This window comes from Homo sapiens, chromosome 16 (genome assembly GCF_000001405.40).
Source record: "Homo sapiens chromosome 16, GRCh38.p14 Primary Assembly".
NCBI lineage: Eukaryota > Metazoa > Chordata > Mammalia > Primates > Hominidae > Homo > Homo sapiens.
The window spans coordinates 65963918-65979068 of NC_000016.10; the positions used below are offsets into that span (position 1 = coordinate 65963918).

General features: G+C 42.2%; 1 annotated feature.

The window, feature by feature from the left end:
- Positions 10861-12060: an enhancer, noted in NCBI's record as "MED14-independent group 3 enhancer chr16:66008681-66009880 (GRCh37/hg19 assembly coordinates)". NCBI's record gives its function as "activates an origin of replication core promoter dependent on BRD2, BRD4, P300/CBP and CDK7 cofactors, and independent of MED14, by STARR-seq in HCT116 cells {active_cell/tissue: HCT116}" and the evidence as "EXISTENCE:reporter gene assay evidence [ECO:0000049][PMID:35650434]".

Here is a 15151-nt window from a genome sequence, read left to right on the forward strand (position 1 = left end):
CTTTCCCTGGAGCTGTCACTTGGGTCCATCTGGGAGGCACTGACAAGAGACCAGAGGCTGGAAAGGGAGCAAGGTATTCACTCTGGGGCTCACCCTTCCAGCTGCAGGTCCATGGCAGGTTCTGGGAACCCTTCCTTGCCCTACTATTGAGGCCTAGGGGTGGTCACTGCCCCCCAGTGTTGCTACCCCCAAAAGTGCTTCACCATCCCTTGCTGATTTTCCCTTCACCTTCCCAGACTGTTACAAATAGTTTATTTATTGACCTCTCCTCAATTCCCCCATTTGAGGGCACTATCTGTCTCCTTCTGGGACCCCGATATATACCCCAGGCTCCTTTCTAGGTTCATAATGTTCTCTGTTATTGGAAGCACATTCTCAAGGCCCACTTTTTCCAAGAACCATCCCCAGCTCAGCCATAAGGTAGATCTCTGTGCTGACTTTCCACCTACCATTTGGCCCTCTTCCTCTCACTGTCAGACCTCGGTCCATGAACACAACCTCTCCCTCGCAACCATTCAAAAGGAACTCAGGCTCTCTCGAGCACCTCTTCATCCCCGCTCAGCACCCGGCACAAGCCCTGTGCGCTCTGGGGAGTTTTAAGAGACCGATAAGCATTTCCTCCCTCACTCCCACTCTGGCGACATCGCATTAGCATTTCTGTTTTAAACACCAGTGATCTTTTATGCTGACCTTTTCTCGGTCCATGACTCATAGGAAGGTCTGGCACAGGGATGCACCTGTCCTATCCTCTACCCCTGACTACCTGCAGAGGGATGCCTTCCTGGAACCCCAGAACATTGAGCCTGAAGAGCCCCTAAAGACCTGTTCCCATCCCCTCATTCTGCTGATGGGGAAGTGGAGAACCAGATTTTGTAAGGGACTTCCCAAAAGCTGCAAGATGAGTTTGTGAGGAGGGAGACCAATCTAACCCACTGCCTTCAGGGTGTAGCATTTACAGAGAGCCCGAGGGCACCTGGCCTTGTGTCAGATGCCTCACGCATCTAGGTGCCTCTTCAATGCAAGTGCCCGGCCAGGTGTGACCACATGGGGGCCACAAGAATAACACACAGCATCTTCCTGAGGGTCTATCGTCTTCCAAGTTTTGGGGGAGAAAGGTGAAGAAGGGTTAAGTACACTAGGGTGAGGCAAGGGAGGCCCCTACCTCAGAGCAAAACTTAAAAGATGTCCAAAAACTCAGTAATCAAGATAAATTATATTTAAATGCAGTACTTTTTTAAAATCCAAATTAATGCCCCGAAATTCATTATGAACAAAACATCAAAACTGTAAGTAAAAATGGCATTCCATCCTGTATTTGCACAACTCTGCCTCACTTGCTTCCCCCTAATCCCAGTGCTGGTTCCAATAAAGCTTTATTTACAAACAGGAGTGGCCAGTTTGCCAATTTGAGTCTTTAAAATATTGCATCCGAATGTTATCTTGATCACTGAGGTTTTTTATTTTTATTTTTTTTTTTTGGATCCTTAAGGTGAGGGCCTCACTCTCCTCACCTTTTTCCTGGCTGGCTCACTAGTAAGTCATTTAAAATATGCACAAATAAAGCAAACCAAGTTATACCGACAAGTAGAATGCAAAAGCTCTGTGATTTTTTAAGATAAAACAACAGACTTGTGCTTTGGGCGATATTGTCAAACTCCTGGAGCTCTGCATTCACCCTCTCCTCATTTAGGGGTGTTTCACAGCAACAGAATTGGACGGGATTATCCTGATAAATTAGGTGAGCCATTCTGTTCCACTTTCGAGATGAGGGAGCTGAACCTGAGAGCTGTTGGGTGAATTGTCACACGTCACCAAGTTAATGAATGATGAGAACCCAGGTAAACTGCTGGCTGGCTGGTTGAGTAAAGACACACTTGCGTCTGAATCCCTTTCTTCATGTTAATAAAAACAGACAAGGGAGTGACCTGAATATGCCTCATTGAACTTGTCAACCCACTTCTCCCCAGACAAGCACACCAACCCTCTGGAAGAACAGGTTAGGTGACGTAATTGTTACTTTGGTTTAAAAAAAAAAAAATTGGCCGGACATGGTGGTTCACTCCTGTAATCCCAGCACTTTGGGAGGCCAAAGTGGGTGGATCACCTGAGGTCAGGAGTTCGAGACCAGCCTGACCAACACGGTGAAAACCCGCCTCTACTAAATACAAAAAAAATTAGCAGGGCATGGTGGCACATGCCTATAATCCCAGCTACTTGGGAGGCTGAGGCAGGAGAATCGCTTGATCCTGGGAGGCGGAGGTTGCAGTGAGCTGAGATCTCACCATTGCACTCCAGCCTGGGCAACAGAGTGAAATTCCATCTCAAAAAATAAAAAACAAACAAACAAACAAAAAATCCAGGGGATTGGCAGATATCAAATACTGTCACAGTTATAGAGACTGTCAGCATTTTGGAAGCTCCATGTAAGTTCCAAATCTGATCCAGTTATGTCCTAAAGGTGGCCTAGAAATGAAAGCTGGAGCTGTATCAGGGGACCTTGGTGCCACCTGTGCCAAATTCATCACCCTCCATTCTTCCTCTGATGGCTTCTCTCTCTGGACTGACATCCTCCTTCTCTCCAGTCCAGGCCAACTTCACACAAATTTCAAGACTCAATGTCACCCACCCTTTGCATAAGCCTTCCTTGACACCTCTTTGGCATTTGTGCTGCCTCTTTTGCATTCATTCATTCATTCATCCAATTCATAAATATCTCAGGAATTTCTTTAGCTCAGCACAGTGCAAGGATCTGAGGACACAGTGGAGAATAAAGAGACCTTGTCTGTGCTCTCATGGAGCTCATGGTATTGTTCCCATGGATCCAGTATCTCCCTCTCTCTTGTGGTGGGGTGGGCTCAAACTGAACTCCACTGGCCTGCTTCCCTCTTGTTCTCCCCAGCTTGACTGGAGCACCTCAAAACCATGTACTATTTATCTATAAATCCTCGGGGCATAGCTGGACTCAGCCCAGAATAGATGCTCAATATAAACGTGAGTGAGTGAGAGACCCAAATTGGTGTTGATCTTGCACTGGTGTTGCAGGTTGTCTGATCATCATGCCCATGAGCTCTGCCCTCTGGCCATTTCTATCATCACCCAAATTCCCACTGGGGACATCTACAAGAAACAGAGCTGCTTTTCCATCTAAGGGAGTCAGCTTCAACTGGCTGGGGCAGGAAATTTCCCCGTAGCTCCAGTCAGTGCACATCTTGAGCCAATGGTCCAGCAGGCTGTTGAAGGGTCTCAAAGACAGCATGCCTAATGCAATGCTTTTGATTGGAAAGTGGGCAAAGAGCTCTCAACGACCCACTTTCCCTAAATTACATGAAGCAAACACCTCCTCAAGTACAGCCACAGAAGCCTGTTTGAATCTTTTCCCCCCAGCCCTCCCATTCTGCCCACTGACCAGCATAGAGCAGTTGAAAAGCCAATAGCTGCTGAATGAATTGGGAAAAGGATGCACCAGTCCATCTGCTTGGGGCAATGGGTTCACGTGTGAGTCTGTAGCATCACATCCAGATTTCTGCTCTTGTTCCCAGATTCCTTATGTAAATCTGTAGACTGAGTTCACCTCGAAATTTTAATGTGCTTATAAAACCCTAAACCTTGTAATGAGTCATGGATCAACTCAGAAGGGGTCAGGCCATGCCAACAAGCCCCCAGCTAGCTTAAGAGGGATGAGTCAAGTCTGAAAAGCCACTGATCTTACAAGGGAGGCCCCAGGGGGTGGAGGGCCAGAACCCCAGATCTTCACACGGAAACACAGGGCAGCAGTGTCCACTCCTTTTCCTCCACTGGCTCGACCCTGCTTCTTCCTGGCCTCCTCCCTGGCTGCTTCTCTGACCTCTCAGCCTCCAAGCAGACAATTAAGCCTTTGCAAAGCACTCCTTCCCTCTGCTCTAGCACTCCATGCCCTGACCTTGACTTGTAGGCTGACCTTGGTATTTGAGGCCTTCCCTAACCTCATTCCCTCACTCCCAAACCAGCTGTGTTTCAGAATGTTCTCCAAATTTAAATCTCTGCATAGATTCAGGGACATTTGTGGGCAGACCACAGACCTCTTTTCTAGCAAAACCCTCCTCCAACCCCTGGGTATTCTCTCTCTCTTATATATGTGTCATATATATATATGTGTGTGTGTGTATATATATGTATATATACACACACACATATACATACACACACATGTACATATGTGTGTATTTATGTAACATCAGTTGAATGCATAGCATGTGCCAGGGGAGAGAACTAATGCTTCATTGAGAACCTACCACAGGAAAGAACTTTATCTTGAATTTCATTCCATTTTGGGGGCCAGATATTATTATTGTTCCCATTTTCAGTTGAAGTTACAGAGATGGAGACAGACTCAACCACTTGCCCAAGGACCCACAGATAAGTGGTGCTTGCACTCACATCTTAGCGTCTTGACTCCCATCGAGTCATCTGCCCACCTGCCCAGGTTCTGCCCATCTAGATCCCACCCTATGTCTGTGAGGCTGCCAGCTGCTTTAGTCAGGGCCTGGTGGGAAAGGGTGATGGCTCACTCCAAAGGATATTTGAGGAGAGTTTGATAAAGCCCCTATTCACCTATGTGTGGGTAGGAAAAGCCACTGGGACTGTTCAGGGTGAGATCCCAAGGCTTGGGACAGGAGGAAGCCATCACCACTGCAGCCCAGAAAAGGGAAGGGGAGATAATGGCCAGAACCAGAACTAAGAGGGCTGTGTGGTGAGGGGTCTGTGGCTTTGTGCCAATAGGTGCAGCCAGCTCGTGGGCACCCCCAAGAAAGGATCATAGGGTATAAACACCCCAACACCCTCTTCCCCAGGCCCCACTTTAACCTTTGAACTCCTGTACTCGCCATTGACCAAAACCAATAGTAAGCCAGAGGGCAAGGGGGCCGGATGCGACGCCAGAAAGATCAGCATCCCAAGACAAAAAGCCAGAGGCATCCACCCTTGTCTAGGTGAAAATTCCACATCTTAAGTGTAAGACAACACGTAATGTCCCATCAGCCACTGAATGTCAGTCTGATCATACTCACACCAGTCCTCTGATCACAAGGTTTTAGTTTGCAATCATAGTTTCATCTTCCACTATGCATTCCACATTCCCCTTAGCCTCTGCTTGGGGGAGCTTCTTTACCTTGGGGGAGAACCAAGCCTTTATTTCTATGAGGTGTGAATCCTCGGTAGACTTGTTTTTATTGGGTTGCCACAGTTGGATTTACTAGGACTTTGGGAAGGGAGTATTAAGAGTAAGACGTGTCCCTGCAAATATCCGGAGTTACAAATATAATCCTCTTTGCCCACTCCCCCAGTTCGCCTTGGTAATCGGGACCCCTTCCTGGGACCAATTCAGTAGCACTCTTCTTTGCTTGTTGGTTGAGTGGCATGAGGAACCCCAATTATCCAGAAGATGTTTTGCCTTTCAATTGCACCAGCGTTTCTCACTGTAAAATATTAGGAATAACCTCTGTTTGGAATGGTGCGATGCTGTTTACATAAATCATCACATCTAACTCTCAGTACAAACTTGTGAGATTAACATTCATTATCCCAGTCTATAGATGAGAAAAGGGAGGCTCAGAAAAGTAGACTAATTTTCCCAGTATTACACAGAGTTAGTGTCTGAATACCGGTACTGAATGCTAAAGCCTGGGCACCTTCCCTTGCCCCAGGCTGCTGCCTGCAGGAGTGCGTGGGCCAAGATTGTCCCAGGGGTGTTAGATATGTTATGTCCAGACAGATAGCCCTTTGGGCTTTTAGAAAATATCATTTATTACCCTTCATGCCCCTTTCTTCTGCAAGCCCCAAACATCACAGAGCTGGTGGGAGCAAAATGCTCTTTTCATATTTTGCAGAGTACCTGATGTGGTTTTCTTGTCTTGACTGTCCAGGCTCAAGACAAAAAAAAAAAAAAAAAAAAAAAAAGTCACCTAGAAAAGCCCCCTCTTATAACCGCTGCAGCCCCTGACAACTGATTTCTAGGCCTTTCCTTGAGGGGTAGAGACTGATAACAGCAGACACATCTCTGGAGGCTGGATTTTTGAGGTTAATTAATTTATCTTTAATTGACAAATAATAATTATGTACATTTGTGTGGTACAATGTGCTGTTTTGACCTATGTATATGCTGTAGAAAGATGCAATCAAGGTAATTAATGACTCTATCACATTGCCCACTTAACATTTTTTTGTGGCAAGGATATTAAAAATCTAGCCTTTTAGCAGTTTTGAAATATGCATTATTATTCACTGCAGTCACCACGCAGTGCAACAGAGCAGCAAAACTTCTTCCTCCAGTCTAACTGAAACTTTCTACTCTTTGATGAACATCTCCTCTTTGCCCATCCCTCCCCCTACCCCCACCCCTGCCCCATCTCTGGTATCCACATATCTACTATTTCTATGAGATTGAATTTTAGATTCTACAAATAAGTGAGATCATAGAGTATTTGTCTTTCTGTGCCAGGCTTATTCACTTAACATAACGTCCCCCAGTTCCATACAAGTTGTCACAAATGACAGCATTTGTTTCTTTGTTAAGGCTGTATAGTATTCCATTGTGTACATATACCACATTTTCTTTATCCATTCATCCCTTGATGGACACTTAGGTTGTTTCCACATCTTGGCTATTGTGAATAAAGCTGAAATGAGCATGGGAGTACCGATATCCCTTCGGCAAACCAATTTCAATTCCTTTGGATGTCTACCCAGTAGTGGGATTGCTGGATCATACGAGAGTTCCGTCTTTAGTTTTTTGAAGAACCTCCATACTATTTTCCAAAATGGCTGTACCAATTTACAGTCTTGCTAGCAGGGTACAAGAGTTCCCTCTTCTTCACATCCACACCAACACTTGCTATCACTTGTATTTTTGATAATAGCCGTTCTAACAGGTATCAGGTGATATCTCATCGTGGCTTCAATTTGCATTCCCATGATGATTAGAGATGTTGAGAAATTTTTTCATAAATCTGTTGACCATTTATATCTCTTCTTTTGAGAAATGTCTTGTTCCTGCTCTTAGATCCCTTGCCTATTTTGAATTGGGTTATTTGTTTTCTCACTGCTGATTTCTTTGAGCTCCTTATATATTCTGGATATTAGCCACTTATCAGATGTGTAGCTTGCTAATATTTTCTCCCAATACATAGCATAACCCATCACTCTGTGGATTTTTTCTATGGTAATGCAGATGCTTTTTCATTTGATGCAATCTCCTTGTCTATTTTTGTTTTTGTTCCCATGCTTTTGGAGTCCTATCCATGAAATCATTGCCCAGGCCAATGTCATGGAGCTTTTCTCCTTTTACTTCTAGTAGCCTTACAGTTTCGGGTCTTGTAGTGAAGTCTTTTATCTATTTTGAGTTGCTTTTTGTACATGGTATAAGTATCCAATTTCATTTTGTGCATGTGGATATCCAGTTTTCCCAAGACCATTTATTTAAAAAATCGTCCTTTCTCCATAGTGTGTTCTTGGCACCTTTGTCAAAAGTCAGCCCAAATGTCCCCAAATCAAAAAGTGGATAAAGAAATTGTGGGGGGTGTGTGTGTGTGTGTGTGTGTGTGTGTGTGTGTGTATCATAAAGAAATTATATATATGAAAATATATATATTTCATATATATGAAACATATATACATGAAATATATATGTCATATATATGAAATATATATGTCATATATATGAAATATATGTCATATATATGACATATATATGTCATATATATGACATATATATGTCATATATATGAAATATATATGTCATATATATGAAATATATATGAAAATATATCTTCATATCTATATGAACATATAGGACTTCACATATATATGAAATATATATATATAAAACATATATTTTCACATATATCTATATATGAAGGAATACAACTTGGCCACAAAAAAGGAACGAATTAATGGAATTAGCAGCAATCTGGATGGAACTGGGGACTATTATTCTAAGTGATGAACTCAGGAATGGAAAACCAAACATCATATGTCCTCAGTCATAAGTGGGAGCTAAGCTATGAGGATGCAAAGGCATAAGAATGATACAATGGATTTTGGGGACTCGGGGGAAAGGGTGAGAGGGGTGTGAGGGATAAAAGACTACAAATTGGGTTCAGTGTATACTGCTCAAGTAACAGGTGCACCAAAATCTCAGAAATCACCACTAAAGAACTTACTCATGTAACCAAATACCACCTGTTCCCCAAAAACCTATGGAAATAAAAATTTTAAATTATCAATAGTAAATACTTGGGTTTATTTCTGGGCTTTCTATCATGTGCCATTGGTCAATGTGTCTGTTTTTATGCCAGTACCATGCTCTTTTGATTACAATAGCTTTATAATATATTTTGAAATCAGAGTGTGTGATACCTCCACCTTTGTTCTTTTTCCTCAAAAGATCCCTTTGACTATTTGGGGTCTTTTCTGTTTCATGCAAATTCTTAAATTGTTTTTTCTATTTCTGTGAAAAATGACATTGGAATTTTCACAGAGATTGCACTGAATCTGTAAATCTCTTCAGGTAGTTTGGAAATTTCAACAATATTAATTCTTCGAATCCATGAACATGAGATATCTTTCCATTTGTTTTTCTTCTTCAGTTTCTTTCATCAATGTTTTATAGTTCTCAGTGTACAGATGTTTTACCTCTTCAGTTATTTTATTGTATTTGAATGCTATGGTAAACTGAATTGTATTCTTAATTTCTTATTCAGAGAGTTTATTTTTTGTTTGTTTCGTTGTTTGTTTCTGAGATGGAGTTTCACTCTGTTGGCCAGGCTGGAAAACAGTGGCATGATCTCAGCTCACTGCAACCTCCATCTCCCAGTTCAAGCGATTCTCCTGCCTCAGCTTCCCAAGGAGAGTTTGTTGTTAATGTATAGAAGCACTACTGATTTTTGAATGTTGATTTTGTAACCTGCAACTTTAATAAGTTTGTCAGCTCTAACAGTTTTTTGATGGACTATTTATGGTTTTTTATACATAAGGTCATATAATCAGCAAATATATACAATTTCACTTCTTCCTTTACTATATGTATACCTTTTTTTTTTCTTGCCTAATTGCCCTGACTAGGACTTTCACTACTATGTTGAAAAGAAGTGGCAAAGTGGGCATCCTTGTCTTGTATCTGATCTTAGAAGAAGGGCTTTCAACTTTTCACTGTTTAGAATGTTAGTTGTGGGTTTTTGACATATGGCCTTTATTGTGTTGAGGTACATTCTTTCTATATCTATTTTGCTGGGAGTGTTTATCATAAATAGATGTTGAATTTTTTCAAGTGCTTTTTCTCCATCTATTGAGATGACCACGTGGTTTTTTCCTTCATTTTGTTACTATGGTGTATCACATCTATTGATTTATATGTATGCCAAACCATCCTTGCATCCTGGGGATAAATTCCACTTGATCGTGGAGAATTATCTTTTTAATGTGCTGTTGAATTCAGCTTATAAGTATTTTGTTGAGGATTTTTATGTCTGTGTTCATCAGGGATATTGCCCTGTCATTTTCTTTTCTTTTCTTACAGGGTTCTTGTCTGGCTTTAGTATCAGGGTAATGCTGGCCTGGTAAAATGAGTTAAGAAGTACTTCTCCTCTTCCAGGTTTTGCAAGAGTTTGAGAAGGATTGCTGTTAGTTTTTTCTTCAAATATTTCATAGAATTCAGCAGTGAAATCATCAGAAGAAATTAAAAGGGAAATTTAAAAATATCTTAAAAATGGAAACATAACATACCAGAACTTGTGAGATGCAACAAAAGCAGTCCTGAGAGGGAAGTTTATAGCAATAAATGCCCACATCAAAAAAAAAGAAAGATCTCAAACAAGCAACCTAACGTTACAACTCAAGGAACAAGAAAAAAAGCAAAAAAGGCCAAACTTAGCAGAGGGAAGGAAATAAAAAAACATCAGAGCAGAAATAAACAAAATAGAAACTAGAAAAACAAAAAATCAGCTAAACTAAAAGTTGGCTTTTTGAAAAGATAAAATCAACAAACCTTTAGCTAAACTAACAAAGAAAAAAGAAGACTCAAGTAAACAAAATTAGAAAGAGAAGATATTACAACTGATACCACAGAAAGAGATTCATAAGAGACTACAACGCACAACTATACACCAACACATCCCAGCACTCTGGGAGGCCGAGGCAGGAGGATTGCTTGAGCCCAGAAGTTCAAGACCAGCCTGAGCAACAGAATGAGACCCCATCTCTATTAAAAACACAAAAAATTAGCAAGGTGTGATAGTGCACATCTGTAGTCCCAACTACTCCAGAGGTTGAGATGGGAGGATCACTTGAGCCCGGGAGGTCAAGTCTGCAGTGAGCCATGATCATGCCACTGCACTCCAGTCTGGGTGACACAGTAAGACCCTGTCTCAAAAAAAAAAAAAAAATGCTGCCGCACACATTGGATAACCTAGAAGAAATGAGTAGAAACATGCAACCTACCAAGGCGGAATCAGGAAGAAATAGAAAATCTAAACAGACCAATGAGTAAGGAGATTGAATCAATAAAAAAAGTCTCCCATCGAAGAAAAGCCCAAGACCTGTTTAATGGGAGATGGAGCCACCAGATAAAGCATCTTTGCAAAACTCCAAAGCCTCCTTTCCATGCCCCTTCAAATTAAAAGAGTTCCCTCTACTAATATATTAACTAAAATGAAATATTAATGGCTGTCCTCTATTATTTATTGGCTGTTTTTGGAGAATAAAATATTGAGACCCAAAGAGGAATCAATTTCTATGAAACCTCCCTTTCCTGAGAGGGCTTGATTCGTGCCACATAATAAAGAGACAAGCTTATCAGCCGCATCAGTTCAAAGACATGTGCTGTAAATGTTGATTTTGAACCAATAAGAAGATTATAAGCACTGTCATAAAATATCCTTTCAGGATGTAAATTATTCAAAGCCCTTCGTGGGCAGACACAGTATCTCATGCCTCAGTGATCCCACTCTATTCAACACATCTCATTTATTAAAGCCAGAGAGGCTCTCTGTTGATAAAGCCCCCTAAATAAATGATAACCTTCATCTCCTTCTTCCAAATTATTTCCACGATTAGAATTTGAAAGGTTCATGCTGGAGGTGTCATGTCAAAAAGTATGGCCTCTGTAAACCATGCACGCATCTTCATTGGCAAGCTCAGCTTCACGTGACAGTCAAGCCCCAAGCCCCCATTTGTTAGAGCAGGGCAATGGGTCTAGCAGTGCAGACAAGCTCTGAGGGCTCATCTTTACAATGCTCATCTGCGAGATGCAGGGTGTAACGGAATGAAAGGGCTTGGGCTGCAAATCTGCCTTGCCGCTCAGTCTCATTATGACCCTGCATGACTCAGCATTACCCTGCATGACTCAGCATTACCCTGCATGACTCAGCACAATGCAGCATGCCCTGAGCAAATCACTCAACCTTTCTAGAACTGAGTTTCTCTTACAGGTAGGTAGGAAATAATATGTGCACCCCCCAGGCACAGAGTCTGGCCAATAGTAGGTTCTCAGTAAATACTTTTCACTGGATCACCAACCATAGTATAGACCCCTTGGGGCAGGCTTCTTCTTATTTCCTCAAGGCATCTCAGAAGCCATGGAGTATCCTGAGCAGCTGTGCCTGCCTCAAAAGGTTCCAAGAGACGGCCCATCCTGGACTCATCTCTGACCTTCGTTCACAGAAACCCTACCCAACTTTGAGGGTCCAATTCAAATGCTATCTCCTCCTTGAAGTATTTCATGATTCCTTCACTTGAATTCTATCTTTCCTTTCATCCATTCCCAAGTATTCATACAGTGCCCCCCATGTGTCAAGCATCGCTCTGGGCTCTTTACAGAGGGTAGCTTGTGTAATCTTCATTACAATCCTGCAAGACAAGTCTTCTTGCTTCTATTTGATAGAAGAAGGAATTAGGCCCAGGGAAATTATCTTGCTCAACATCACACATGAGTAAGAGATGGGACCAAGATCTGAACCAGGTTTGACTTGATTCCAAAGCCCATGCTCTTTTCTTTCAGCTCCACTGGCCACCCTGCTGTTGCTGGACCCACAGCTCAATGCTTTCTATCTGGGATTCACTTACCTTGTTGAGCATGCCTCAGTTCTGCTGAGAATAGGTCTCAGAGCTTGTCATGGATGCTACAGCTCCATCTGCCTGGCTTCCAGCTGGAATAGCATCCATTTACTCATGATACCTCCAATCCCTACAAGACTTCCTCAGCCAGACCTAGAAAGACAGCACTGACTTATATCCATTTCTCCCATTTCTCCATTAACCATTCTGTTCCTCAATTTCTTCATCGATAAAATGGGATCAGAATGGTACCTATCTCAGGCAATAGCTATGAAGATCAGATGAGGTCATGAATACAGAATGTTTTGCACAAGCCTACCACAGTTGATGCTCAATAAATGTTAACTACTATTTGTTGGTATCTTAAAGGTTTCTGGCTAAGTCATTCTGACTCCAAATCCATGCTCTCCCTGGTATTGCAGATAATTTTTCATGCCCATAGCAAAAACTTGGCATATAATGGTCAGCAAGTCATGAATTGCTGGCGAATTCTCTAATGTTTTCCAAAGAACATGCTAATTAGTGTCGAGAGCAGCTACATAGGACAATGAAGGGTACACAGGCTACGGAATCAGACAGGCTAGAGTTTAAGTCTTGGCTATGATACTTTCTAGTGGGTAGTCCTGGGTGAAGTCACTCAATCCTTCTGGAGCCTGTGCTTTCATGTCTGTAAAATAGGGGGTGGGGGACAGTCTAGATACCAAAGCTGCTAAGTGAAAAAAGAAACTGTCATCAGGAATACCATAAATGCTCATTTCCTTCCTCCCTTCCACCTTTTCCTTTCATTTTTCCTCTTTCCTCTCCCAACTCTCTACCTCCCAGTTTCCTGCCTCTGCATCTTATGAATGTCACCACCAGGACTGTGCTCCATCTCCTGCCTGTTCTTGTGTTTTTGGTGGGAGTCTGGTGTGGACCCATTCATTAGTTTGACCTCATCTCTCTGGAGGGATATAATAAATTCTTCAGCAACAAGGACCAGAGCCTTCCTCATCTTGAGTGACAGTAGCTGCTTAGACATGTTCCACAAATGCCCATGAAAGGAATCATTCCCATCAACAATGAAAGGGAACTGCTGGCAAAAAGAAAGGCCCTCAAACCAATCCTTAAAACTCACCATCTTTCTCCATGCTATAGGTTATATCACAGCAAGGACCCATTATTCTAACACAATAGTAAGAAGACAAAATGGTGGTTCATTGTTATGGTGCCCAAACCAAGCTGTACTATTTACAATAGCAAAGACATGGAATCAACCTAGATGCCCAGCAATAGTGGACTGGATAATGAAAATGTGGCACATGGCACATATGCACCGTGGAATACTACATAGCTTTTTTTTTTTTTTTTTGAGATGGAGTTTCGCTCTTGTTGCCCAGGCTGGAGTGCAGTGGTGCAATCTCAGCTCACTGCAACCTCCACCTCCTGTGTTCAAGCGATTCTCCTGCCTCAGCCTCCCAAGTAGCTGGGATTACAGGCATACGCCACCATGCCCAGCTAATTCTTTGTATTTTTAGTAGAGACGGGGTTTTGCCATGTTGGTCAGGCTGGTTTCGAACTCCTGACCTCAGGTGATCTGCCCTCCTTGGCCTCTCAAAGTGCTGGGATTACGGTCATGAGCCACTGCGCCCAGCCACAGCTATTTTTTAAAATAAGATCATCGCCTTTGTAGCAACATGGATGGAAGGAGAGGCTATAATCCTAAGTGAATTAATGCAGGAACTGAAAACCAAATCCCACATGTTCTCACTTATAAGTAGGAGCTAAACATTATGTACGAATGGACACAAAGAAGGAACAATAGACACTAGGGTCTATTCGAGAGTGGAGGGTGGGAGGAGGGTAAGGATTGGAAAACCACCTATTGAGTATTTTGCTAATTACCTGGATGATGAAATAATCTGTACACCAAACCCCCAAGCAATTTATCCATGTAACAAACCTGCCCGTGTAACCCTTGAACCTAAAAGTTAGAGAGAAAAAAATTTAATGCTCCCATGTGTACAACAAAATACACACAAACATAAACACAATGAAACAATGCAAGAATTACTAAGTGTTCTTCGCATGGATATTGCAAAGTTCCTTGCAAATTCTTCATAAGGAATGGATTCTCTGAATTACTACTACCCAGAACACAGAAACCATTTGATTCATTTTGTTCACACAGCAGTTCTGCCTTGTCAAGAGCTGACAATCAGACATGCAAAACAAGTGCTATATATCAATTTTGCAAAAGTGTCACTTTGGGAAAACAGAACCAAAACAAATTGAAAAATCATACAAATAATTACTCGGAGTCTCAGCTCTAACATGAAAAAGAAGGTACAAAGGCAGAAGTGCTAATTAATATGACTGTGTAATTACACGGGCCCACATTAATAAACTGGAATTACTCCAGATTTCCAGCAGGCAGCCCATCTTCATGTGTGATCTCAGAGGTGTGGGCACAGAAGGGAAAATGCTTGGGTTTCCTTTGCCAGGTGCCCAGCTGGAAAGGCATCAGGAAAAGGGAATGTGAGGCCTCCATGCAGGAGAACTAGGCCCTCCTAGCCTCACCTCTCTGCTCAGACATGTTGAGCCCTTGTCTACATCAGCAGGTACAAGCTTCCACCAAGACATCTTCTCTAATTAGGAAGTCATTCCTCATGCAGCTACAACAGCCCAACCACAACATGCTAAGGACAAAATTAAACCCAACACAAGCAAGGGATGGGATTTATGAAGCAGCCAGTACATGCTCTTCTCCCTTCTCTCCCTGTCTTTCTATATCTATGTCTCTCTCCCTGCCTCCTAGTTCCCCCACTTCTCTCTCAATTTGTTTTGGTTTCTGTTTTCCCAAACTAATACTTTTGCAAAATTCATACGTATCACTTGTTTTGTATGTCTGATTGTCAGCTCTTGACAAGATAGAATTGCTGTAGGAAGAAAATGTATCAGACTCAGTCAGGTAGACGGTATCATCTATAAAAAAGTAATTATCTCACTCTATAGCAGTGAAAACCAAGCCTCCAAAGGTCAGCTAATCTGATTTTGCCAAAGCCACATAACTGGAAAACAGAAGCTTCTG